This window comes from Homo sapiens, chromosome 6 (assembly GCF_000001405.40).
Source record: "Homo sapiens chromosome 6, GRCh38.p14 Primary Assembly".
In the NCBI taxonomy this organism is placed as follows: Eukaryota; Metazoa; Chordata; class Mammalia; order Primates; family Hominidae; genus Homo; species Homo sapiens.
The window spans coordinates 24792593-24819231 of NC_000006.12; the positions used below are offsets into that span (position 1 = coordinate 24792593).

Sequence of the window (26639 nt, forward strand, 5' to 3'; positions counted from 1 at the left end):
CACCCTCCTCGGCCTCCCAAAGTGCTGGGATTACAGGCGTGAGCCACTGCACCCGGCCTATATCCTGTGTTCTTACAATAAAGTAAGGTAGAGAAAAGAATTAAGCCGATCATAAAGAAGAGAAAATATTTTTTACTATTCATTAAGCAGAAGTGGTTCATCATAAGGGTCTTCATCCTCATCATCTTCATATTGAGTAGGCTGAAGGGGAGTCTCGGTGGCAGACTAGCTGTCTCGGGTGGCCGAGGCAGAAGAAAATCTTCATATAAGTGGACCTGAGCAGTTCAAACCCATATTGTTCAAGGGTCAACTGTATAGTACAGTCATACAATGAAATACTCTGAAGCAATGGAAAAGAATCAAACTCTTTAAGATGTAGAACAAAGTGTGAAATAAATTATGTATGTATAGAATGCTACTATATGTTAAAACAAGGACGACGTAAGGGATAGATGTATATTTTCTTATATATAGAAAGAATACTTCTGGAAAGATACAGAAGAAGCTACTTCTTTTCTTTTTATCCTTACATGAATTGATACATTTTAATTGGTTGCATATATGCTTCTTTTCCATATCTAATGTTTTCTTCCTGGAGTAGGAATCTCCAATAGCTGCAACACTCCTGGTTTTAGTGGAGATGAGGGACTTACCTGATTAGTGACTTTGGGAAGAATAGCCCTCAGGTGCTTGCCTCAGCTCTTCCCTTCTTCTTCTGGGGAGTGAGGGCTTGCACAGAGCACTGATGTTCTCAGCTGCTTCTCTTGGTTCAGGGACAGGCTGAAGTCAAATTACTAATCAAGTGAAGAATAAAGACATCACTGGACATGCAAATGCTCAAAACATTTACCTCCCCTTCATTCTTTCTCTGGAAACTACTGAAAAATTTTGAAATTAAAATGTTGGAATGAACCAGGAAAAGGGAAGAGAGAGTATACAGGAAACAGAGGCTTCAAGATGAGAGGGGTAATGGGGGGTCCTGGATGTTGAAGGGAACCCCTAAAATACTGTATTTGTTAGCTAAGGGCAGGCCCAGATTGGAGCAAGAGGATGGTGGAGCCGGAGCTGACAGTTACTCAGTGCATGATTGTGTTGAGAGATGTTAGACATATAGAGGAAAGTGTGGGAATAAAGTAGTGATAGGTATTCAGAAAACTAAGTAAAAAAACAAACTCCAGCCGGGCGTGGTGGCTCACGCCTGTAATCCCAGCACTTTGGGAGGCGGAGGTAGGTGGATCACGAGGTCAGGAGTTTGAGATCAGCCTGGCCAATATGATGAAACCCCATCTCTATTAAAAATATGAAAAAATTAGCCAGGCGTGGTGGCACGTGCCTGTAGTCCCAGCAGCTTGGGAGGCTGAGATGGGAGAATCACTTGAACCTGGGAGGCGGAGGTTGCAGTGAGCCGAAATCGTGTCACTGCACTCCAGCCTGGGCGACAGAGCGAGACTCCCATCTCAAAAACAAAACAAAACAAAAACTACAGAGAAAACAGAGCTGTGGAAAGAAGGAAGTGTAATCATAATATCCTGTATGACTTAGCCTTGAAAAATATTGAATTAATCTTATTTGGTTTTAATGTATTTATTTATAACAGAGATGGGTCTTGCTATGTTACCCAGGGTAGTCTCAAACTCTTCGCCTCAAGCAGTCCTCCCACCTCAGCTTCCCAAAGTGCTGGGATTACAGGTGTGAGCCACTGTGCCCAGCTATCATATTTTTTAAATCAACAATTGTGACATAATTACATCGAGAGAGGAAGAGTAGGGCAGGTGAAGGTAGGCAAGATGAGTGTTAGAATGCCAAATTCCATCTGTCCTATTCAGAAGGAAGAACAAAAATCCCCAAAATTGAAAAAAAAAAGACAAGAATTAACAATGTATATAAATTATTTAGAAATATGAAGGTAAATAAATACCAGAAGAAACAACTGAAACAATTCAGATGATTCCCTCTGGGAGTGTAAATGGGGAAGGGACTCAGAGACTGCTGTTTCTCACTAGAGGCCTTACATTATTTGACTTTTTAAACTGTGTACGTGCATTACTTTGAAATAAAAACTTAATTTTAAAAGCATTAAAAGGCTGAATCTGGCGGCTGATGCCTGTAATCCCAAAACTTTGGGAGGCCAAGGCAGGAGGGAATGCTTCAGCCTGGGAGTTCGAGATCAGCCTGGGCAAAATAGCGAGACTCCATCTCTATTTTAAAAACGTGTGTGTAAACATATATGTGTATATATATATGAAAAAGAAATTAGCAAGGCATAGTGGCTTCCACCTGTAACTCTAGCTCCATGAGAGGCTGAGGCAGGAGGATTGCTTGAGCCCAGGAGTTCAAGGTTATGTATGATCTATGCCTCCAAATTTTCAGAAAGGCTAATTTGAGTAATAACAAAACTCTGGTCTCCCATTTAGCCAGCTCTACATGTATTAAACTCTTTTTCTATTGCAATTCCCCTGTCTTGATAATGTTCATAGCTCAGTGGTGTGAGCTATGATTGCACCACTGCACTCCAGCCCAGGTGAAAGAGTAAGAGGCTATCTCAAAAAAGAAAGAAAGAAAGAAAAAAGAAAAAAAGTAATTCCTGGCAGTAATTCAGTATCTAAATGGAACTTCCAGTTTCCAACCCTTAATGTATTCCTATCAACTAGATTCTAGTTGAGAAACTCTACATTCCATACTTCACAAAACCACAAAGTATGGAAATGTACAGTTGCTCAGCAGAACATAGCTTTTTCTGGTCTAAGATCTGAGAAAATTCCCCTCCAGATCCTTCTTAAGGAAACCCCATCTGATGATGTGATTAGCATCCTCCACAACATTCCTATCCCAAATACAAGTGAGGATCACGAATCTACACGACATTTTTTAAAATAGCCCCCTCTGTGCCTAACACTAAAGCACAGCTCAGTCAAAGCAAGTCTGTGAAAGATGAAAGTACATAATTCAATGTTATGGTTGCAACTGAAGCTAGAGGCAGGTGTAGTTAGAGAATCAGGTACATATCCCTTAGGCACTTTTCTGCCAATATTATTTTTTCGAATAAAACTTTTGATGAGGTTGGTTAACACACATAGAGTGCAGGTATTCTGTGGCAGATTATCTAGTAGACAAAACAGAGAGAATAACATCTTTTTATGAAAATCTAAGAGCCTACCTAACTTTAGGTGTCGGAACACACGCGCTCCATCTCCATCCAAACGTTTGTGCCAGTGGAGTTGCGGGCTGCTGCAGGTGGAGGTAGGCAAGAGGAGTGCTAATTCTAGTGCTAATTCCCAGTCAGCCCCATGTGCAACCAGATCATGCTCTGATAGCTGGAGAACCATCTCAAAAGCACCACCACCGGAGGTTCTGTACTGAAATAGGGCTGAAAGGATTCAGGTGGGTCAATAGTGCCTGCTGAAGGAGGCAGCCGTGGGTGGGGCTAGGATTTGGCCTTTCTGAGTGCCTTGGTTTAATATCATCTAGTAACTCCCAAAGTGCACCATTGCTCCTAACAGTTATATACATGATGCATCTTCTGATGAATTTCAGAATTTTATGAACTTAATTTTTATGAGGTCTTTTTTTTTCACTTTTAATAATTTTTTTTTTTTACTACACAGAAGCACAAGGTTAAAAAAAATTACCAGCATATTTTTTCCAATGGGAAATCAGTTGTAAAATACATATTTTTAATCAACTTCAAAAAAAGATATATTAGAAAATAAGAGTTTCATGATTTAATGGTAGACATTGGGGATAGACATTCTCTCTAGCCTTCGTATAATAGATGGCAAAAAATAATAATTCCAGTTCTGTAATTTTACAAGTATTCATGTAACTGCCCCATGAGTTCTTGCTCTTTGCCCAGACAGAGCAGATTTATCAAGACAGGGGAACTGCAATAGAGAAAGATTTTAAGACACATAGAGCTGGCTAAATGGGAGACCAGAGTTTTGTTATTACTCAAATCAGCCTCTCTGAAAATTTGGAGGCTAGGGTTTTTTAAGGATAGTTTCATGGGCAAGAGGCTAGGGAATGGGGAATGCTGATTGGTTCCATTGGGGATGAAATCATAGGGGGCTGGAACTTGTCCTCTTGTGCTGAGTCAGTTGCTGGTTGGTGACCATAAGATCAGAAGACCCAGCTTGGCAGTCTGGGTGGTGCCAGCTGATCCATCAGAATGCAGGATCTGAAAAATACCTCAAATACCAATCTTAGGTTTTTCAATACTAATCTGTAGGTGCAACCGGGGAGGTTGGAATCTTGTGGCCTCTGGCTGTATGACTCCTGAGCCATAATTTCCAGTCTGTGGCTAATGTGTTAGTTTTATAAAAGCAGTCTGGTCCCCAAGCAAGGAGGGAGTTTGTTTCAGGGAAGAGTCTAGGTAATCATCTTTGTTTCATAGTTAAACTATGAACTAAATTCTTCCCAAAGTTAGTTTGGCCTATGCCCAGGAATGAACAAGGGCAGCTTAGAGGTTAGAAGCAAGATGGCGTCAGTGAGGTCAGCTTTCTTTCGCTGTCAGATTTTTCTCACTGTCATCATTTTTGCAAAGGTGGTTTCATTCATATTCCGCATTGTATCTAACTGCGTGCTTTAACATCTTTATTTCCTAATGGGAAAGAATACACTCATGAGCAAGCTCAATGGGCTCTCTCTACGAGGTAATTTTAAACAGCATTTCTTTTCTGAAGTTTGATTATTGCAGTTAACTGTATGAAAATCTATACAGAACTCTTCAACTACAAAGGAAAACATCGATTTTTATTGTTTATTTCAGTTTTCCAGGGTAATACACAGAGAGCTGCAACATGTAACTGGATTTAGAGAAACTAATTCCTATGAAAACCAATTAGGAAATACAGCACCTCTGCAAAATTCTCTGTCCATCCAGACCAATTCTCAGCAGCCAACATTTGCAAATGATATTTTAGAGCACTGTGGTCTTTAAGCTCCTTGACGCAAGACAAGTTATTGCATGTCATGACAGAGAGAACGTAACAAGTCCAAAATTTAAGGAGGAGGTAGCTGTTTGTTTCACTTTTGATAGTAGACTCGAATCTGCCTTCAAAAAAACTAATGAGAATAGGAATAAATTGCAGACTTTTGGCTCTTTTCTGGCTGACAGGGTTTAAGTAACACCAACATGCCACACTCTGGAGCAGCAGGATCTTTATTTTTGGTGCCAACTCCTCATCTTGCAACAAGTGAGCCACTTCTTCCATGTACTCAGCTGCAAAGTTCCCAGCAGGTGGTCCTCCTGTAAAACAAGCATTTGCATTTCCAGAAGTATTTGGTGTATCTATTAGCTAGTAACACTTTGGAATGCTTATATGTTCATATTCTTGTTGCCCTGTAGAGGATACTTTGGATACTTTGAATTTTCCTGTCGTTTTCCCCCACCTCCCACGCTGCTGCCATGAAGACCAGAAAGTGTGTGTTGATAAGCAAGCAGTGATATGAAAAACCTGGGAAGGTCTCTGCTTGCTGGTCTCCTCCCTGGTTCCTTTAAGCAAGCACCCAGGAGTGAGTATTTCTTTCTTTCCTTTTTTTTTTGAGACGGAGTTTTGCTCTTTTTGCCCAGGCTGGAGTGCAATGGCACGATCTCAGCTCACTGCAACCTCTGCCTCCCGGGTTCAAGCGATTCTCCTACCTCAGCCTCTCGAGTAGCTGGTATTACAGGCATGCACCACCATGCCCAGCTAATTTTTTGTATTTTTAGTAGAGACGGGGTTTCACCATGTTGATCAGCTGGTCTTGAACTCCAGACCTCAGGTGATTCACCCACCTTGGCCTCACAAAGTGCTGGGATTACAGGCGTGAGCCACCGTGCCTGGCCAAGAGTGAGTATTTCAAGGTGAATAAAACCTGGTTGTGTTCGCTTAGCAAATATCCCTCATCCAATGAAATGTTATCAGAATTTTAAGATTACAGCTAAGAAAAATTACTAAACTACAGTGTTATAAAATGAGTGTCGTGAAACACTCATTTTAGCACAGCCATTTAGATCAGTACCTGTGAAGGCCAGCAGTCCAATTTTCTGGGCAGCTTGAGCTCTCTTCTCAATGGGTAGAGATTCATTCATCAACACTTGGCCAAGTACAACAATTTTTTCCTCATGAAAATAAGTCTCAGCTGAAGGGATTTTTTTTTCCTTCTTCTTAACAAAAAAGCCCTTAACAGTGACACGCCAGAATTTCTGGAGACGCCGACACAGCCCCGCAAAATACCCATACATCTTAACCCAAATTTGCGTACAAGAAAATCGGCTGTTAGCCATTGTGTAAAAAGGCCAGTGGTCCTTCAGGTACACCACTGGCAGTCACAGGAGTTCACAGTCAAGAACTCTGGAATGCATCACTTAGCAACACTGTGGAATGGAATATACAAACCAGGGGAAAGCAATATATGCCTAAATTCTTCAGCTTGTCATTGAAAGCCTTCTACTATTTGGACTAAACAATTTTACTTTCATTTCTCTGGTGTACAAAACCTCAACTTAAACTTGTTTCCCGTAATGCGCATGAATCTCACTACTGTCTTTGAACCTTTGCTCAGGCAGGGTATATTTGGAACTTGCCCGTTCTAGTCTGATTATTCCCACATGTACTTTGCTTCTTTCCATTGATCTTTCATAGTATTGTTACCTCTTTTGCTTGTTTGCTACCCAAAGAGAGTTCTCTACATCATAGATTTATCTTATTTTGCTGAGAAAATAGAAGCAATGAAAAGAGAACTTGCATAACTCTTACCAGTGCATCCACCCACCTATCTGCGTCTACGGTACCCATAGACTCTGTCTTTCCTCCTGTTACTGTGGATACCCTCTCTGTTTGTGCAGTAGATGTCAATCAGCTCCTCTCACCTCACTCAAGGATGTTGCTCTTCGGTTCTTCTCTTATCTTGGTAATTTTTCCATCTCAACTGGACCCTTTGCATTATCAACAAACACGCTGTGCTTTTTTTCTCATTAAAGAAAGAAAACTCTCTTGACTTCATATGCTTTCTTCCCACAGCGACTGCACATTCACTTCCCTGCTCTCCTTTACAGTACAGCTCTTTAAAGAGCTGCTATACTCACCATCTCCAGTCTTTCTCATTCTTTCTTGGATGAATTCCAAACAAGATTTCAACCCCATGACTCCACTGACATTGCCTGTCAGGGTCATTGAATTGTCAGTCTTTGACATTTGACACTCCTTTCTCTCTGAAACACTTTTCACCCAGCTTCTAAGATACCACACTCCTAATTTTTCTCCTCCTGGCCACTCATCATTTTCCTTTACTGGTTCCTCTTCTTATGACCTCTAAATATTGGAGGGCCCAAGGCTCATCAGTCTTTGTATGTGTTCTTCTTTTCTTTTCTTTTCTTTTTCTTTTTCTTTTTTTTTTTTTTTGAGTCATGGTCTGTCTGTGTCCCCCAGGCTGGAGTGCAGTGGCATGATCTTGGCCCACTGTAGCCTCGACCTCCTGGACTCAGGTGATCCCCCCACCTCAGCCTTCTGAGTATCTGGGACCACAGGTGCACACTACCATGCCCAGCTAAATTTTTTGTAGGGATGAGGTTTTGCCATGTTGCCCAGGCTGGTCTTGAACTCCTGGGCTCAAACAATCCACCAACCTAGGCTTCCTAAATGCTGGGATTACAGGCGTAAGCCACCATGCCCGGTCCTTTTTTCTTTATCTATACTTCCTAGATAAGATCAAGCAGTTTATGGCTTTAACTATTACCCATATGCTGAAGACTCCCAGTTATATATATTATATATTATATATATATTAATTATATGTATATATAATTTTTTTTGAGACATGTTCCCCTGTTGCCCAGGCTGGAGTGCAGTGGCCCAATCATAGCTCATTGCAGCCTTGATCTCCTGGGCTCAAGTGATCCTCCTGCCTCAACTTCCTGAGTAGCAGGGACTGTAGGCCACCACACCTAGCAAATTTTTAATTTTTTTTTTTTTAAGAAATGGGGGTCTCACTATGTTGTCCAGGCTGTTTTGAACTCCTAGCTTCAAGCAATCCTCCCACCTTTGCCTCCCAAAGTGCTGTGATTATAGGCATGAGCCACTACGCCTGCTCCAATTTTATATCTTTAACTGGATTTCTCACCTGAACTCCAGACTCGTATTCAGTCACAAGCTTGATATCCCCATTTGAATGTCCAAGACGCTTTTCAGTTTTAACATGTCCAAAACAGAGTTCCAGGTCTTCCTCCCTAGACTGGCTGCCTCTCAGTTTCTATATCTTGGAAGATGGTATTACATCCTTCTAGTTGTTCAGGTAAAAAATTCTAGATTCATCCTTGGCTTCTATCTATCTCACATCTCATTTTCAACTTATCAATGAATGTACTGGCTCTACTTTAAAACATATCCCAAATTTGAGACATTCTACAGAATATACCTACATATGCTCTTCAAATATTTTAATGTGTGAAGGCTTAAAAAAATTGGGGTTACTCTGCTAGATTAAAAGAGCCTGAGAGACATGACAACTAAAATAAAAATGTAGGCCGGGTGCAGTGGCTCTCACCTGTAATCCCAGCACTTTGGGAGGCCAAAGCATGTGGATCATCTGAGGTCAGGAGTTCAAGACCAGCCTGGTCAATACAGTGAAACCCTTTTTCTACTAAAAATACAAAAATTAGCCAGGCGTGGTGGTGCACGCTTGTAATCCCAGCTACTCAGGAGGCTGAGGCAGGAGAATCACTTGAACCTGGGAGGTAGAGGTTGCAGTGAGCTGAGATCATGCCATTGCACTCCAACCTGGGTGACAAGAGTGAAGCTCCATCCCCAAAAAATAAAAAATAAAAAAATAAATGGCCAGGCGCGGTGGTGGCTCATGGTTGTAATGCCAGCACTTTGGGAGGCCGAGGTGGGCGGATCACCTGAGGTCAGGAGTTCAAGACCAGCCTGACCAACATGGCGAAACCCCGTCTCTACTAAAAATACACAATTAGCCGGGCGTGGTGGCGCATGCCTGTAATCCCAGCTACTCGGGAGGCTGAGGCAGGAGAATTGCTTGAACCCAGGAGGCAGAGGTTGCAGTGAGCCGAGATCGTGCCATTGCACTCCAGCCTGGGCAACAGGAGCGAAACTCCATCTTGAAAAATAAATAAATAAATAAAAATAAAAATGTAATCCCTGCTTGGATTCTGTACATAAACACGTGTGTATGTGTCTCTCTGTGTGTGTGTTTGTGTATGCTATAAAGGGTATTACTGGGACAATTGGGAAAAACAGACCTTCCTTGTCCAATAAGGTAGCCACACATGGCTATTTGAAATGTGACTAGTCTCAGTTGAGATGTGCTGTGAGTGCAACATGCACCCTGGACTTTGAAGACTTAGTAGGAAAAACTGTAAAATATTTCAATAATTTTTATATTGATCATATTTTGAAATGTTTTACATTAGGTTAAATAAAATATATTATTATAATTAATATCACCTGTTCTTTTTTCTTTGTCTTAAGTGTGGGTACTAGAAAATCCAAAACACCAAGCATGGCCTCTTTTCAAGGCTTTTGTACTTACTGTTGTGCAGGGGAGAAAACATCATTTCTTTTTTTCCCCTTTTTACATTTTTAGTTGAGACACTGTCCTGAAAATAAAAGTCAGATTAACAAAAGAAAAATAAACGGAAGTTTATTAATGTGTGTTGTACCCAATGTGCAGGAGAGACTTCAGTTCCAAAGTATTTCTCTCTCTAGGCAGTGGCTTAGGGGCTTTGCTTAAATAGCATTTTAACTAAGAGCCATGAATCCTATCTAGTGACAAGACAAAGAAAAGACCATCTTCAGGCTTCCGAAAGGTGAGAAAATGCCTGAAGGTAAGTTGATGGGAAGAGTAAAGTCTGTTCCTGGGTCCTCTGGCAGTGCTGTCTCTGAGCTCTGGTTATGAGCTGACCAAGGCAGAAAGGAGTGGCAGAATATGTCCCTGTTTTAACCTTTTCACTATAATCTCCAGCATTTTAGAGAGGAATATTTTAGTTGCCTCCAGTTGCCTCTGCCTGGAAGGTTCTTCCCAGAGATAATCCACGTGACTCATCCCAATAGCTCCTCGGGTCATTCCTCAAATGTAATTTTCTGTGAGGCCTTTGCACTCCTTTTTTTTTTTTTTTTTTTTTTTTTGACACAGGGTCTTGCTGTGTCACCCAGGCTAGAGTGCAGTGGCACGATCGTAGCTCACTGCAGCCTCAAACTCCTGGGCTCAAGCAATCCTCCTGCTTCAGCCTCCCAAGCAGTTGGGACCACTGGTGCACGCCACCACGTCCAGCTGGTTTTTAAAATTTTTGTAGAGATGGGAGTTTCAGTATGCCATGCAGACTGGTCTTGATTTCCTGGCTTCAAGGGATCCTCAGCCTTGGCCTCCCAAAGTGCTGGAATTACAGGTGTGAGCCACTGTGCCGGCCCCTGACTACTCTCTTTAAACTTGTGATCTTTGCTTTCTCCCTGTGTCTGTCTTCACCCCACCTTGTGCAATCATTTTTCCCCTTCTCTGCTTTGTTGTCTTCGCTTTGCCAGGATATAAGGCCTGGGAGGGCAGGGATTGTTGTGTCTTTTATTTTTCTCTACTACTCTATTTCCAGTGCCAAGAACAGTCCTTGGCATACACCTCGTTCATAGTAAGTAAGCAACAAATACTTGTTGAATGCATGAGAAGTTAGAGTTCTAATTTTTAGCAAACAATTATTATTCCTTGAACAAGGTGTACTTAGGACTGTCTCAAAATCAAAAGATAATATTTGTTTACTAAGAGGTACTGTCTCCAGGAAAAGTCAGGGATAAAAGTATTTTATTTGAGTTTTTCTGATACAGCGAGAAGTACTGGCATTTTTCAGTGAACTAAGGTTTACAATTTTACTTTACAATTTTGTAAAGTAACTAAGGCAATTTAGTTAAACAGTATAGTAGCAAACCTTATAGAGGAAAATGTTTGTACCACTGACTCAGTAAAAGCAATCACTGGTATTTAACGAGTCACTTGGTAAATACTGTCAGAGTTGAAAGTCAAGGGCTTCTTTGTGATGATGCTGGTGGGGTCTGAGTGGGAACAGAACATACACAAATCAGTGAAGGCACTTTTTATTTTTTTTTCCCCGAAACAGAATCTCACTCTGTTGCCCAGGCTGGAGTGCAGTGGCACGATCTTGGGGTAAGCCACCATGCCTATTTGCCCTCAAGGAGCTCACAGTCTCTGCTCATAGATACAACAGTGAAACTTAGCTGTTTTCTCTCCAATTAGCTTTACAACAAACTGAGATTTATTATCTCTATTTAGAGATAAAGGAATTTCAAATTGAAAATAAAAGCACGAGCTGTGGTGGCTCACACCTGTAATCCCAGCACTTTGGGAGCTCGAGGCGGGCAGATCACCTGAGGTTGGGAGTTCGAGACCAGCTGATCAACATGGAGAAACCCCATCTCTACTAAAAATACAAAATTAGCAGGGTGTGGTGGTGCATGCCTGCAATCCCAGCTACTCGAGAGGCTGAGGTGGGAGAATCGCTTGAACTCGGGAGGCGGAGGTTGCGGTGAGCCGAGATCGCACCGTTGCACTCCAGCCGGGGCAACAAGAGCAAAACTTCGTCTCAAAATAAATAAATAAAATAAAATAAAGGTGAAAATGAGGTGCAGTGTGTTCTGTAAATACCAACTCAGAAAGGGCATGTGAAAAAAAATAACATCAGACTGCACATGATGCTAGTAATTCAAAAATAATTTTTATTTTAACTTACATGACTGAAAGATCAATGAATACAAATGCCACACAACTAAAAGCACCCCTCAACCAAACATAAAATACAGAAGTGAATACAAAAGATCTGGAATTAATTACTCATGCAATAGTCAAAATAAAAAATAAAAAAATGACAAACCAAACACAAAATCCTGTAACATCTGTGTTTGACTTTCTATAAAAAGAACCATTTCAACCATTTAACATAAGCTATAGGCTATACCTCCTAACTACAGACTGTACAATGTACCTTTAAAGTGAAGGATGTATGAATATATATAATATTTATAAATATACAGATATGTACACGATAAGTTCACAGTTGAAAGAACCATTTGCCAGAAGCCTGGCAAACAATTTGCACTTTGAAATGAAATGAGTCCTTTTTAAAAGTCTTGCTAAAATGTAAATATTTAAAATGACATCTAAATGATACAAACACGTCCATAGTACAGTTGATATTCCACAGTTTAAATTACACTCACATATATTGTTTTGATACCTTGGCATACCCCACCTTGTACACTCTTTAGAGGAAGAAAAGATATTTTAATAAGAGCTACTGAATGGTCTTGTACTTTGCTTAATGAACTTGCATCTCTGATACTGAAGCAATAATGGGACCTGATGTTTGAACTATTTGGCCAGGGAATCCTACCAGTGAGTGATTTCCCTGGGGGCAGTAACCACCCCTCAGGATGTCCTTCTTTCTAATCCCACGGTCATTTTTACAGAAGGAGGGACCACTTTAAATGTTCCTCCACTCCTACTCCATTAGGATTTCTCTGACTTCTAGGTTCCTCCACCTCAAAGAGCATCACAGGTTTGTGAATCTACAGCTTTTGGTTTTGATTTGTCTTAGCAGCAAAACACCCCTATGGTAAGAATATCATAAAAAATAGCTCTCATTAATTAAAAAAAAAAAAGCATAAGCTTTGAGTTTTTTGTTTAAGTGTATAGGCATAATCTTAATGTAGTTCTTAGTCATTTACTTATCATTTTTCCATAATGGAAACATGATTTGGGAATTTTCAGGATGGGGAAAAGAAACAAAATAAATTATGGGAGTTTTTTGTTTTTTTTTTTGAGACTGGCTCTCATTCCTCTGTCACATGGGCTGGAGTGCAGTAGTGTAATCTCAGCTTACTGCAACCTCTGCCTCAAGTGATCCTCCCACCTCAGACTCCAGAGTAGCTGGGAGCACATAAAATTAAAACATCTAAACTCTCCTAATGGGTCATTTTGCCAGGTTCTGCAGGCAAACTTTTATTTGAAGATATTCTTTTTTGTGCTTTGTATTGAAAGTAAAGTTAGGTAGCTAAGGGGACTACTCAACCCTGAGAACACGACCGAGAAAAACTGCAAGGCATATGATGTTTGTCGAAGTATCACATGACTATTTCAAGCTTATAGAGAAACTTGCAAAAAAGTACAAAGATGGCTATTTTTAAATTTCATACATATTAAGATAAGATGGACTCTTTCACTGAGTATTATTAGACACAATCGACGATGTAATATATTTGAATTATACCATAGCCCTATTCTATATTGGCCAAAGGAAAAGTAGATAGGTACTGTGAAACGAGACTCTGAATTCTTTCTATAACATGTTTTTTTAGTTGTTGTTGTTGTTTTGTTTTTTGAGACAGGGTTTTGCTCTGTCACCCAGTCTGGAGTGCAGTGGGGCAATTATGGCTCACTGCAGCCTGAATCTTCTGGGCTCAAGCAATCCTCCCACCTTAGCCTCCCAAGTAGCTGGGACTACAGGTGCATGCCACCACGCCTGACTAATTAAACTATTTTTTTTGTAGAGACAGGGCCTTGCTATGTTGCCCAGGTTGGTCTTGAACCTCCTGGGCTTAAGCAATTCTCCTGCGTTGGCCTCCCAAAGTACTGGGATTACAGGCATGAGCCACTGCACCTGGCCTACATTTTTATTTCAGTTGTCGTGTCTCTCAGGCTCTAAACAATTTCCAGCCCAAACCACAGCACCATCCTGATGAAAAGGGCCAGATATTAAGACAGCTGTTAGGCAGTTAACCTGTAATTAAAAGGCTGTGGCAACTTCAGTTCCATGACGACCTCCGACTTTAACACAGTCTCGAGGAAATTTGTCCAATTGTTCATATGCCAGCCGCCCATCTTCTCCTAAATACAGAACATTAAACATGAATACCAATTCAAACAACGTTTTTATTAATTACTCAAAGTAACATAGTGCCATTTGTTTAGGGATGGGTTGCTATAATATGCTATGCTAACTTTTGGTAAGGAAAAGTTATCTTTTGTTATTCCTAATTATGTCATTGTTTTCCAGGTAATGCTTAGAACAACCAAGAACTTTTGAGCTAATTAATGCCAGAGACCAAAAGAATGCCAGGGTATGAAACAGAGTAGAAGTCTTATGGCCATTTGATGTTGATGATTTCATATAATCGATTTATTTTAGAGCAATTGTATGGATTATATTTTAAGTACATTAGGGATTTCAATATGGCTAATGCACTGAACTTTTACATAACTTTTACTTGTATACATTATATATCGATACATCTAAATGATATGTGGTAAAATCAATCTTAGGCTTTCAAACTTCAGCTAAAAATTACTTTTTACTATGTAAACATACAGAGATGCCTTCTACCAGCCACCAGCTAGTTCAGTTTTGTCCGTAACGCCACCTTGAACAGTTAGGATGCAATTGCAAATAATTTTAATGTTTTGTTCTATTTTTCTACTTTAAAAAATGATTTAGAAAATGAGAAAATAAAATGCAAAGACAAGTGATAAGAAGCAGGCTTTCATACATGTAATGCAAGTGAGACAAAGATGGAAATAGTTGTGCCTAATCAGAAGTTCAGCTGGGTGTGGTGGCTCACACCTGTAACCCCAGAACTTTGGGAAGCCAAGGTGAGTGGATCACTTGAGGTCACGAGTTTGAGACCAGCCTGATCAACACAGTGAAACCCCATCTCTACCAAAAAATACAAAAAAAGAGTTAGCTGGGTGTGGTGGAATCCACCTGTAGTCCCAGCTACTTGGGAGGCTGAGGCAGGAGAATTGCTTGAACTCGGGGGCAGAGGTTGCAATGAGACGAGATTGCATCATTGCACTCCAGCCTGGGTGATAGAGAGAGACTCCATGTTTAAGGTAGGCTAGGCTAAGCTATGATGTTCTGCAAGTAAGATGTATTAAGTGCATTTTTGACTTAACAGTATTTTCAACTTACAACGGGTTTATTGGGATGTAACCCCATTGTAAGTCAAGGAGCAGCTATCCTCAAAATTGAGTAAACTTAAAACTTCAGTTCCTCCATGGTGGCAAAGGTGAACAGCCCAACAGCCATTTAGGATGGCTGCTGTCATACTGGACAGTGCGCATATAGAACAATCCCATCACCATGGAGGGATCTGTTGGACAGCTCTAGGTTAAAATGTCGAAATCATTCCATACTAGTTGGTAAATAGTTGCAGCCCTGAGTCCTTTAAGTGCCCGCAATGACCTTCTGCCCTTTGTCATAGGGCATTTTATCAATTCCTATTGAAAATACTATCCTCACTATATTAATTCAGTCATTTGTGTAAGAGAAAAATGTGCCAGTATTTGTGTATTAGGGTCAAAGAAGATTCATAATATTGACTTCAGGGGGGTCTCAAACTTTATATTAGAATCACCTGGGAGGCTTCAAAAAATCCTTAAAAAATCCTGATGCCAAGGAACACTTAGACCAATGAAAGCAGAATCTTTGGGAGTAGATTGTTTAAGCTTCCCTGGCAAATGTGCAGCCAGTGTTGAGCACTGCACACTGGTGGTGTGAGAGGGCCCAGGGCTGATATGAGCAGTGTGCATGAAGAGCTAAGGTGAAGCAGGTATGGTGATGGCTTCTGGAGATGCTGCTGTTTGCACAGCTCCAGTGAGGCCCGGGGCACATTCTGTAGGATCAGCTTCCTTAGGTTACACTGGAAATAGAAGCTTCGTTGGCTATGCTTTATAAGCGCCTGGCTTACCTTCATGGTTATTTTAGAATATGAAGGGATAAAGGAGTTTAAACTAATAATACCTTGGTACATTTTTAGAGAATTAAATAATTTCTATGCCTAATACAACCATAAGGAATAACTTTTATTCTTTAAACAAATATATACTGGCTAAGATTTCTGTGGAAGAAATCATATATTCAATAGCAGAATGAAGCCTTGTTAAACCCATAATTGTAAGAAAGAGGGCCTAACAATAAATGGGATTTTCACAGTGATTATAAATGCCATGAGATTCTTCTTCATGTTGTTAAGTTAGTATCACTAAACAAGGGTAGCTTTTTTCTAAGCTGCAGTATTGATTGGATTATGTCTGAGGATTTCTAGGAGCATAGTTTTTATACTTTAAGATTGTGTTGTTGAAGTAAAATTATTTATAATAATTATTTATACTTTTTTCTTTTTTTTTTTTTTTGAGACAGAGTCTTGCTCTGTCACCCAGGCTGGAATACAGTGGCATGATCTCAGCTCACTGCAACCTCCGTTTCCTGGGTTCAAGTGATTCTCCTACCTCAGCCTCCCAAGTAGCTGGGACTACAGGTGCACCCCACCACACCTGGCTAATTTTTGTATTTTTAGTAGATACATGGTTTCATCATGTTGGCCAGGCTGGTCTCGAACTCTTGACCTCAAGTGATCCACTCACCTTGGCCTCCCAAAGTGCTGGGGTTACAGGGGTGAGCCACCAAACCCAGCTATTTATACTTTTTAATACAGAGTTAAGAAAGGCTTTCCCCACCCTCCCAAGTCCCCAAAAAAGAATAAATGTATAATGCCTGCTAGGCATGAACCTTCATAAAATAAAGTGAAGAGGAAGGATTATCTGGATATTTCAGAATAAAATAAGTACTCCAATTCTTTTCTTAGGTATCAGGGCTCAGATGGGCAGAGGCCACAGGGCAGTCAGAGGTTAACCTGGGAGTCAGGGTGAGGCTGAGATACCTGGGGATTTACAGCATTCCCTGGGATGCATCTCTGGTACCTCACCCAATTTCTGTCCTCCAGGGAATGTCAACCCCACCTGGCAACACAGCCTGGATTCCTATTGCCTTTGCTTTATGGTTTGACTTCTGTGTTCTTGATTCTAAATAGTACACAGACTGATCAATCCATATAGAAAGTCTCCAGACAATATAGTTCACTCTCAGCATCCAGACAGAACAAGGAGTTGGGGTGAGATAGACACTGATCAGTTCTTCGTACTCTGTGTGTGAGAAGACAGCCTACAGCGGGGAAACTGCTAAACAGGGTACATGAAACTTCTCCTTACTGGAGAAGGGAACATCTAAATGGGAACATCCGTTAGAGAGTGCCAGAAGCAAACAATCATGTAAACAACAACAATAAAACTCACCCAGAGACAAGAGGGTTTCTGAGGCCACATTTCTGATTTCTTCAGTATCAGATTGACACAATGTCACCAGCATTTTAATGCTTTCAGTAGCCTATGGGGGAAAAATAGGTTAAATCGTGTTTTGACATTTAGGTCTAGAGTACCACGAGACTTGGCATTTCACAACTGGTGGGAACTTTAGCCTCACTTTGTTGCCCAGGCTGGAGTGCAATGGAGCAATCATAGCTCACTGCAGCCTTGACCTCCTGGGCTCAAGCAATTCTCCTGCCTCAGCCTCCTGAGTAGCCAGGACTGATTTTTAATTTTTAACCTTTGGTACAGATGAGGTCTCACTATGTTGCCCAGGCTAGTCGAATTCTTCTGCCTTGGCCTCCTAATGTGGTGGGATTACAGGTGTAAGCCACTGTGCCCGGCCAGCTGGTAGGAATGCTAAAAACCACTTTACCTATGGGGTCAAACCTAGCTGAGTGTCTGAAACCCAATATTCCTGGGTGCCACTCCGGATGCACTATATCAGAATTTCCTGGGATGGGGCCCAGAGTTCTTACTTTCAGGAATTCTGATGATCAGCTAAATTCCTCATTCCACAGCACACTCCTGGTCTAGAGGAGTGAAGTGACGAGCTTGCTTTTCCAGAGTAGAATCCATTTTCCCTGGTTCTTTCCACTGAATCTCACTGATTCCAAAATGGCTCTAATTAAAAAATTCTTACTATTTAGTTTATATGCTAAAATAGAGGAGGAGGTAAAGGCCATTAATGACAATTCTTCTATTTGTTTGTTCCACAAATATTTATTGAGCACTCCATGAACCAGACTATTCATAAGGCATGAGAGATTCCACAGTAAACCAGACATGGTTCTGGTCCTCAAGAATTTACAGTCTAGTGGATTCAGAGTATGAAAACCCATGCAGATCACTGTATCCTTATGTCTTTATTTACTTTGTCTGTATCACAGACATCTGTCACTGATATATCACTGGATATCAGGAAAGCACCCAAATAGCAATCACTGTGGGCTTTCTATTTGGGCACCTGAAGGTAATTTTTTTTTTAACCAAGTAACAAGGCAAAATTTCCTACAGCTGTTTCTTTTTTTTTCTTTGAGACAGAGTCTCATTCAGTCACCCAGACTGGAGTACAGTGGCGTGATCTTGGCTCACTGCAACTTCTGTCTCCTGGGTTCAAGCGATTCTCCTGCCTCAGCCTCCTGAGTAGCTGGGATTACAGGTGTGCGCCACCACGCCTGGCTAATTTTTGTGTTTTCAGTAAGGATGAGGTTTCACCATGTTGGCCAGGCTGGTCTCAAACTCCTGACCTCAGGTGATCCACCGGCCTCAGCCTCCCAAAGTGCTGGGATTACAGGCATGAGCCACCATGCCTGGCCCTAGAGCTGTTTTTGATCACAGGCCATTAACTTTTTCTTTTGAGGTATTAATTCCTTTCTTTATCAGGCCTGCAGCTCTTTTCCAAGATTTTGGCAAGTTCTAAGGTGTGGCCTTCTCTCATTCTTTTTTTTTTTTTTTTTTTTTTTTTTTGAGATGGAGTCTCTGTCGCCCAGGTTGGAGTGCAGTGGTGCAATCTTGGCTCACTGAAACCTCTGTCTCCTGGATTCAAGCGATTCTCCTGCCTCAGCCTCCCCAGTAGCTGGGATTACAGGTGTGTGCCACCATGCCTGGCTAATTTTTTTTGTATTTTTAGTAGAGACGGGGTTTCATCATGTTGACCAGGCTGGTCTCGATCTCCTGACCTCAAGTGATACGCCTGCCTCAGCCTTCCAAAGTGCTGGGATTACAGGCATGAGCCACTGCACCTGGCCTTCTCTCATTCTTTTCTCAAGACTGATTTGTCTTATTTTTTTGTGATGAAAGTAGGTCAAACATTACATCTTGCCATTGAAAGGGAAACATCCATGTCAGGAGTTCCCATTCGTTTAGTACTTTTTTTTTTTTTTTTTTCTTTTTTTTTTTTTTAATTATACTCTAAGTTTTAGGGTACATGTGCACATTGTGCAGGTTAGTTACATATGTATACATGTGCCATGCTGGTGCGCTGCATCCACTAATGTGTCATCTAGCATTAGGTATATCTCCCAATGCTATCCCTCCCCCCTCCCCCGACCCCACCACAGTCCCCAGAGTGTGATATTCCCCTTCCTGTGTCCATGTGATCTCATTGTTCAATTCCCACCTATGAGTGAGAATATGCGGTGTTTGGTTTTTTGTTCTTGCGATAGTTTACTGAGAATGATGGTTTCCATTTTCATCCATGTCCCTACAAAGGATATGAACTCATCATTTTTTATGGCTGCATAGTATTCCATGGTGTATATGTGCCACATTTTCTTAATCCAGTCTATCATTGTTGGACATTTGGGTTGGTTCCAAGTCTTTGCTATTGTGAATAGTGCCGCAATAAACATACGTGTGCATGTGTCTTTATAGCAGCATGATTTATACTCATTTGGGTATATACCCAGTAATGGGATGGCTGGGTCAAATGGTATTTCTAGTTCTAGATCCCTGAGGAATCGCCACACTGACTTCCACAATGGATGAACTAGTTTACAGTCCCACCAACAGTGTAAAAGTGTTCCTATTTCTCCGCATCCTCTCCAGCACCTGTTTCCTGACTTTTTAATGATTGCCATTCTAACTGGTGTGAGATGATATCTCATAGTGGTTTTGATTTGCATTTCTCTGATGGCCAGTGATGATGAGCATTTCTTCATGTGTTTTTTGGCTGCATAAATGTCTTCTTTTGAGAAGTGTCTGTTCATGTCCTTCGCCCACTTTTTGATGGGGTTGTTTGTTTTTTTCTTGTAAATTTGTTTGAGTTCATTGTAGATTCTGGATATTAGCCCTTTGTCAGATGAGTAGGTTGCGAAAATTTTCTCCCATGTTGTAGGTTGCCTGTTCACTCTGATGGTAGTTTCTTTTGCTGTGCAGAAGCTCTTTAGTTTAATTAGATCCCATTTGTCAATTTTGTCTTTTGTTGCCATTGCTTTTGGTGTTTTGGACATGAAGTCCTTGCCCACGCCTATGTCCTGAATGGTAATGCCTAGGTTTTCTTCTAGGGTTTTTATGGTTTTAGGTTTAACGTTTAAATCTTTAATCCATCTTGAATTGATTTTTGTATAAGGTGTAAGGAAGGCATCCAGTTTGAGCTTTCTACATATGGCTAGCCAGTTTTCCCAGCACCATTTATTAAATAGGGAATCCTTTCCCCATTGCTTGTTTTTCTCAGGTTTGTCGAAGATCAGATAGTTGTAGATATGCGGCATTATTTCTGAGGGCTCTGTTCTGTTCCATTGATCTATATCTCTGTTTTGGTACCAGTACCATGCTGTTTTGGTTACTGTAGCCTTGTAGTATAGTTTGAAGTCAGGTAGTGTGATGCCTCCAGCTTTGTTCTTTTGGCTTAGGATTGACTTGGCAATGCGGGCTCTTTTTTGGTTCCATATGAACTTTAAAGTAGTTTTTTCCAATTCTGTGAAGAAAGTCATTGGTAGCTTGATGGGGATGGCATTGAATCTGTAAATTACCTTGGGCAGTATGGCCATTTTCACGATATTGATTCTTCCTACCCATGAGCATGGAATGTTCTTCCATTTGTTTGTATCCTCTTTTATTTCCTTGAGCAGTGGTTTGTAGTTCTCCTTGAAGAGGTCCTTCACATCCCTTGTAAGTTGGATTCCTAGGTATTTTATTCTCTTTGAAGCAATTGTGAATGGGAGTTCACCCATGATTTGGCTCTCTGTTTGTCTGTTGTTGGTGTATAAGAATGCTTGTGATTTTTGTACATTGATTTTGTATCCTGAGACTTTGCTGAAGTTGCTTATCAGCTTAAGGAGATTTTGGGCTGAGACGATGGGGTTTTCTAGATAAACAATCATGTCGTCTGCAAACAGGGACAATTTGACTTCCTCTTTTCCTAATTGAATACCCTTTATTTCCTTCTCCTGCCTGATTGCCCTGGCCAGAACTTCCAACACTATGTTGAATAGGAGTGGTGAGAGAGGGCATCCCTGTCTTGTGCCAGTTTTCAAAGGGAATGCTTCCAGTTTTTGCCCATTCAGTATGATATTGGCTGTGGGTTTGTCATAGATAGCTCTTATTATTTTGAAATACGTCCCATCAATACCTAATTTATTGAGAGTTTTTAGCATGAAGGGTTGTTGAATTTTGTCAAAGGCTTTTTCTGCATCTATTGAGATAATCATGTGGTTTTTGTCTTTGGCTCTGTTTATATGCTGGATTACATTTATTGATTTGCGTATATTGAACCAGCCTTGCATCCCAGGGATGAAGCCCACTTGATCATGGTGGACAAGCTTTTTGATGTGCTGCTGAATTCGGTTTGCCAGTATTTTATTGAGGATTTTTGCATCAATGTTCATCAAGGATATTGGTCTAAAATTCTCTTTTTTGGTTGTGTCTCTGCCCGGCTTTGGTATCAGAATGATGCTGGCCTCATAAAATGAGTTAGGGAGGATTCCCTCTTTTTCTATTGATTGGAATAGTTTCAGAAGGAATGGTACCAGTTCCTCCTTGTACCTCTGGTAGAATTCGGCTGTGAATCCATCTGGTCCTGGACTCTTTTTGGTTGGTAAACTATTGATTATTGCCACAATTTCAGAGCCTGTTATTGGTCTATTCAGAGATTCAACTTCTTCCTGGTTTAGTCTTGGGAGAGTGTATGTGTCGAGGAATGTATCCATTTCTTCTAGATTTTCTAGTTTATTTGCGTAGAGGTGTTTGTAGTATTCTCTGATGGTAGTTTGTATTTCTGTGGGATCGGTGGTGATATCCCCTTTATCATTTTTTATTGTGTCTATTTGATTCTTCTCTCTTTTTTTCTTTATTAGTCTTGCTAGCGGTCTATCAATTTTGTTGATCCTTTCAAAAAACCAGCTCCTGGATTCATTGATTTTTTGAAGGGTTTTTTGTGTCTCTATTTCCTTCAGTTCTGCTCTGATTTTAGTTATTTCTTGCCTTCTGCTAGCTTTTGAATGTGTTTGCTCTTGCTTTTCTAGTTCTTTTAATTGTGATGTTAGGGTGTCAATTTTGGATCTTTCCTGCTTTCTCTTGTAGGCATTTAGTGCTATAAATTTCCCTCTACACACTGCTTTGAATGCGTCCCAGAGATTCTGGTATGTGGTGTCTTTGTTCTCGTTGGTTTCAAAGAACATCTTTATTTCTGCCTTCATTTCGTTATGTACCCAGTAGTCATTCAGGAGCAGGTTGTTCAGTTTCCATGTAGTTGAGCGGCTTTGAGTGAGATTCTTAATCCTGAGTTCTAGTTTGATTGCACTGTGGTCTGAGAGATAGTTTGTTATAATTTCTGTTCTTTTACATTTGCTGAGGAGAGCTTTACTTCCAACTATGTGGTCAATTTTGGAATAGGTGTGGTGTGGTGCTGAAAAAAATGTATATTCTGTTGATTTGGGGTGGAGAGTTCTGTAGATGTCTATTAGGTCTGCTTGGTGCAGAGCTGAGTTCAATTCCTGGGTATCCTTGTTGACTTTCTGTCTCGTTGATCTGTCTAATGTTGACAGTGGGGTGTTAAAGTCTCCCATTATTAATGTGTGGGAGTCTAAGTCTCTTTGTAGGTCACTGAGGACTTGCTTTATGAATCTGGGTGCTCCTGTATTGGGTGCATAAATATTTAGGATAGTTAGCTCCTCTTGTTGAATTGATCCCTTTACCATTATGTAATGGCCTTCTTTGTCTCTTTTGATCTTTGTTGGTTTAAAGTCTGTTTTATCAGAGACTAGGATTGCAACCCCTGCCTTTTTTTGTTTTCCATTGGCTTGGTAGATCTTCCTCCATCCTTTTATTTTGAGCCTATGTGTGTCTCTGCACGTGAGATGGGTTTCCTGAATACAGGACACTGATGGGTCTTGACTCTTTATCCAACTTGCCAGTCTGTGTCTTTTAATTGCAGAATTTAGTCCGTTTATATTTAAAGTTAATATTGTTATGTGTGAATTTGATCCTGTCATTATGATGTTAGCTGGTGATTTTGCTCATTAGTTGATGCAGTTTCTTCCTAGTCTCGATGGTCTTTACATTTTGGCATGATTTTGCAGCGGCTGGTACCGGTTGTTCCTTTCCATGTTTAGCGCTTCCTTCAGGAGCTCTTTTAGGGCAGGCCTGGTGGTGACAAAATCTCTCAGCATTTGCTTGTCTATAAAGTATTTTATTTCTCCTTCACTTATGAAGCTTAGTTTGGCTGGATATGAAATTCTGGGTTGAAAATTCTTTTCTTTAAGAATGTTGAATATTGGCCCCCACTCTCTTCTGGCTTGTAGGGTTTCTGCCGAGAGATCCGCTGTTAGTCTGATGGGCTTTCCTTTGAGGGTAACCCGACCTTTCTCTCTGGCTGCCCTTAACATTTTTTCCTTCATTTCAACTTTGGTGAATCTGACAATTATGTGTCTTGGAGTTGCTCTTCTCGAGGAGTATCTTTGTGGCGTTCTCTGTATTTCCTGAATCTGAACGTTGGCCTGCCTTGCTAGATTGGGGAAGTTCTCCTGGATAATATCCTGCAGAGTGTTTTCCAACTTGGTTCCATTCTCCACATCACTTTCAGGTACACCAATCAGACGTAGATTTGGTCTTTTCACATAGTCCCATATTTCTTGGAGGCTTTGCTCATTTCTTTTTATTCTTTTTTCTCTAAACTTCCCTTCTCGCTTCATTTCATTCATTTCATCTTCCATTGCTGATACCCTTTCTTCCAGTTGATCGCATCGGCTCCTGAGGCTTCTGCATTCTTCACGTAGTTCTCGAGCCTTGGTTTTCAGCTCCATCAGCTCCTTTAAGCACTTCTCTGTATTGGTTATTCTAGTTATACATTCTTCTAAATTTTTTTCAAAGTTTTCAACTTCTTTGCCTTTGGTTTGAATGTCCTCCCGTAGCTCAGAGTAATTTGATCGTCTGAAGCCTTCTTCTCTCAGCTCGTCAAAATCATTCTCCATCCAGCTTTGTTCTGTTGCTGGTGAGGAACTGCGTTCCTTTGGAGGAGGAGAGGCGCTCTGCGTTTTAGAGTTTCCAGTTTTTCTGTTCTGTTTTTTCCCCATCTTTGTGGTTTTATCTACTTTTGGTCTTTGATGATGGTGATGTACAGATGGGTTTTCGGTGTAGATGTCCTTTCTGGTTGTTAGTTTTCCTTCTAACAGACAGGACTCTCAGCTGCAGGTCTGTTGGAATACCCTGCCGTGTGAGGTGTCAGTGTGCCCCTGCTGGGGGGTGCCTCCCAGTTAGGCTGCTCGGGGGTCAGGGGTCAGGGACCCACTTGAGGAGGCAGTCTGCCCGTTCTCAGATCTCCAGCTGCGTGCTGGGAGAACCACTGCTCTCTTCAAAGCTGTCAGACAGGGACACTTAAGTCTGCAGAGGTTACTGCTGTCTTTTTGTTTGTCTGTGCCCTGCCCCCAGAGGTGGAGCCTACAGAGGCAGGCAGGCCTCCTTGAGCTGTGGTGGGCTCCACCCAGTTCGAGCTTCCCGGCTGCTTTGTTTACCTAAGCAAGCCTGGGCAATGGCGGGCGCCCCTCCCCCAGCCTCGTTGCCGCCTTGCAGTTTGATCTCAGACTGCTGTGCTAGCAATCAGCGAGATTCCGTGGGCGTAGGACCCTCTGAGCCAGGTGTGGGATATAGTCTCGTGGTGCGCCGTTTCTTAAGCCGGTCTGAAAAGCGCAATATTCGGGTGGGAGTGACCCGATTTTCCAGGTGCGTCCGTCACCCCTTTCTTTGACTCGGAAAGGGAACTCCCTGACCCCTTGCGCTTCCCAGGTGAGGCAATGCCTCGCCCTGCTTCGGCTCGCACACGGTGCGCACACACACTGGCCTGCGCCCACTGTCTGGCACTCCCTAGTGAGATGAACCCGGTACCTCAGATGGAAATGCAGAAATCACCCGTCTTCTGCGTCGCTCACGCTGGGAGCTGTAGACCGGAGCTGTTCCTATTCGGCCATCTTGGCTCCTCCTCGGTGGTATTATTGTTCCGTTTAGTACTTGTTTACATTCTAGCTCTCTCCCTGCTCACGACACCTCCTTATGACAATCAAAACTGGTTCTCTGCTTAATAAAGAGAGCTTGCGGGGAAGGATCTGGGAATTCAGTGGCATACTGAATTTAGTACTTCTTTTCAAATCTTATTTGTCCTTGCTTTTTGTTGTTCACAATAAAAATGAGTGAAATCACCATACATCTCATCTCCCTTTTAAAATAAGATATACTTTCCTTTTCTCTCTCTCTCTCTTTTTTTTTGAGACAGAGTCTGGCTCTGCCACCCAGGCTGGAGTACAATGGCACAATCTTGGCTCACTGCAACTTCCTGGGTTCAAGCAATTCTCCCTCCTCAGCCTCCTGAGTAGCTGGGATTACAGGCACCTGCCATCATGCCCAGCTAGTTTTTGTATTTTTGTAGAGATGAGGTTTCACCATGTTGGCCAGGTTGATCTCAAACTCCTGACCTCAGGTGATCCACCGGCCTCGGCCTCCCAAAATGCTGGGATTACAGGCATGAGCCACTGTGCCGGCTAATAAGATGTACTTTTCTAATACTGACCTAAAGGCAAACTGGTTCCCTTGGGCTAGTGCAAAACATGATTGCTTTCTGCCACTTATTGACTTTAACAAAACAAAGTCACATGTAATTACTGTTTAAGGGAGAAAAATACTAAAACTAACATACGGTGCAAAGAAGACAAGAAATACTGCTAAAAAAGTACTTTCAAACATGAAAGAAAAGCTGTTATATACACTCAGCTTAGCCTGGCTCCAAGCTGAGCTGCCAGGGGAGCTCCAAGGCTGGGCTTTACCTCAAGGATTTTCAGAGCCAGGCAAGCTGCTTTCTGGAGCTGGAGGTTTGTCTTTGTTAGTGCTTCACAGTAATAGAGCAAGGCCTGAAAGAGAAGGAGGGACCTCATGAAGGCATTTTGGTTTGTTCGTAGTTTAAGAGGTATACCTCATTCTTACTCTCTGAGATAAACTATAGCATATAACCTACACATTTTGCACTACCTTCAGAGCAAGAAAAAAAAAGCCATTGAAATTCATATTAATTAAAAGAGTCGTTTATTCAATAAATTGATCCCTTATGTTCTCCTAGATCTACTATGACTCTAGGAGAACATAAGGGATCAATTTATTGAGTAACATAATGACCGTGGGCTTTTATTGGCCACCTAAAGGTAATTTTTTAAACCAAGTAACGAGGAAGGCAAAATTTCTCAGAGCTGTTTTTGATCCCAGATCATTAACTTTTTCTTTTAAGGTGTTAATCCCTTTCTTTATGTCCCATCATAAAGGCCTGCAAGCTCCTGCCCCTTGTCTCATGTGTCATTCCAAGATTTGAAATATTCTCCTAGAGTCCATGACTCTAGGAGAATATAAGGGATCAATTTATTAAATAAAATTGGGAGAGAGTTATGATTCTGGCTTTTAAGGAGCCCTTAGATGTAGTAGAAATGCTAAGACTGTTTAGAAGGAACTGAAGAGAAGAAATGTAT

At 41.3% G+C, this 26639-nt stretch overlaps 2 protein-coding genes and 1 long non-coding RNA gene across 9 annotated transcripts in view; all 3 read right to left on the minus strand.

The window, feature by feature from the left end:
• Positions 1-206: 206 nt before the first annotated feature.
• On the minus strand, positions 207-3244 carry LOC124901280 (uncharacterized). The gene is made up of 3 exons (XR_007059510.1): positions 3158-3244; positions 654-794; positions 207-275 (listed from the first exon to the last, which is right to left on the minus strand). It is a non-coding gene; the product is annotated as an uncharacterized LOC124901280 (long non-coding RNA).
• A 1498-nt stretch (positions 3245-4742) lies between these two features.
• Positions 4743-6325, minus strand: ARMH2 (armadillo like helical domain containing 2). Its single transcript, NM_001282492.2, has 2 exons — positions 6001-6325; positions 4743-5245 (listed from the first exon to the last, which is right to left on the minus strand). Exons 1-2 carry the CDS (start codon positions 6263-6265, stop codon positions 4818-4820), a joined length of 693 nt encoding a protein of 230 aa, NP_001269421.1. The 5' UTR covers positions 6266-6325; the 3' UTR covers positions 4743-4817.
• The window catches only part of RIPOR2 (RHO family interacting cell polarization regulator 2), a 237885-nt gene continuing 222937 nt past the window's right edge, over positions 11692-26639 (minus strand). For all 7 annotated transcript variants that reach the window (XM_006715275.3, XM_011515012.2, NM_001286445.3 and 4 more), the window contains 3 exons: positions 25950-26033; positions 17125-17215; positions 11692-13881 (listed from right to left, as the gene is read on the minus strand). In XM_006715275.3, coding sequence (XP_006715338.1) covers positions 13781-13881; positions 17125-17215; positions 25950-26033 — 276 coding nt within the window. In that variant the 3' untranslated portion in view covers positions 11692-13780. The remainder of the gene's footprint in view (positions 13882-17124; positions 17216-25949; positions 26034-26639) is intronic.

Excerpts from the sequence above, each read along its gene's own strand:
- ARMH2 (NM_001282492.2), bottom strand. The coding sequence starts at position 6,265 with ATGGCTAACAGCCGATTTTCTTGTACGCAAATTTGGGTTAAGATGTAT. Across the intron at positions 5,246-6,000 it reads TGGACTGCTGGCCTTCACAG|GAGGACCACCTGCTGGGAAC; the intron begins GTACTGATCTAA and ends CTTGTTTTACAG.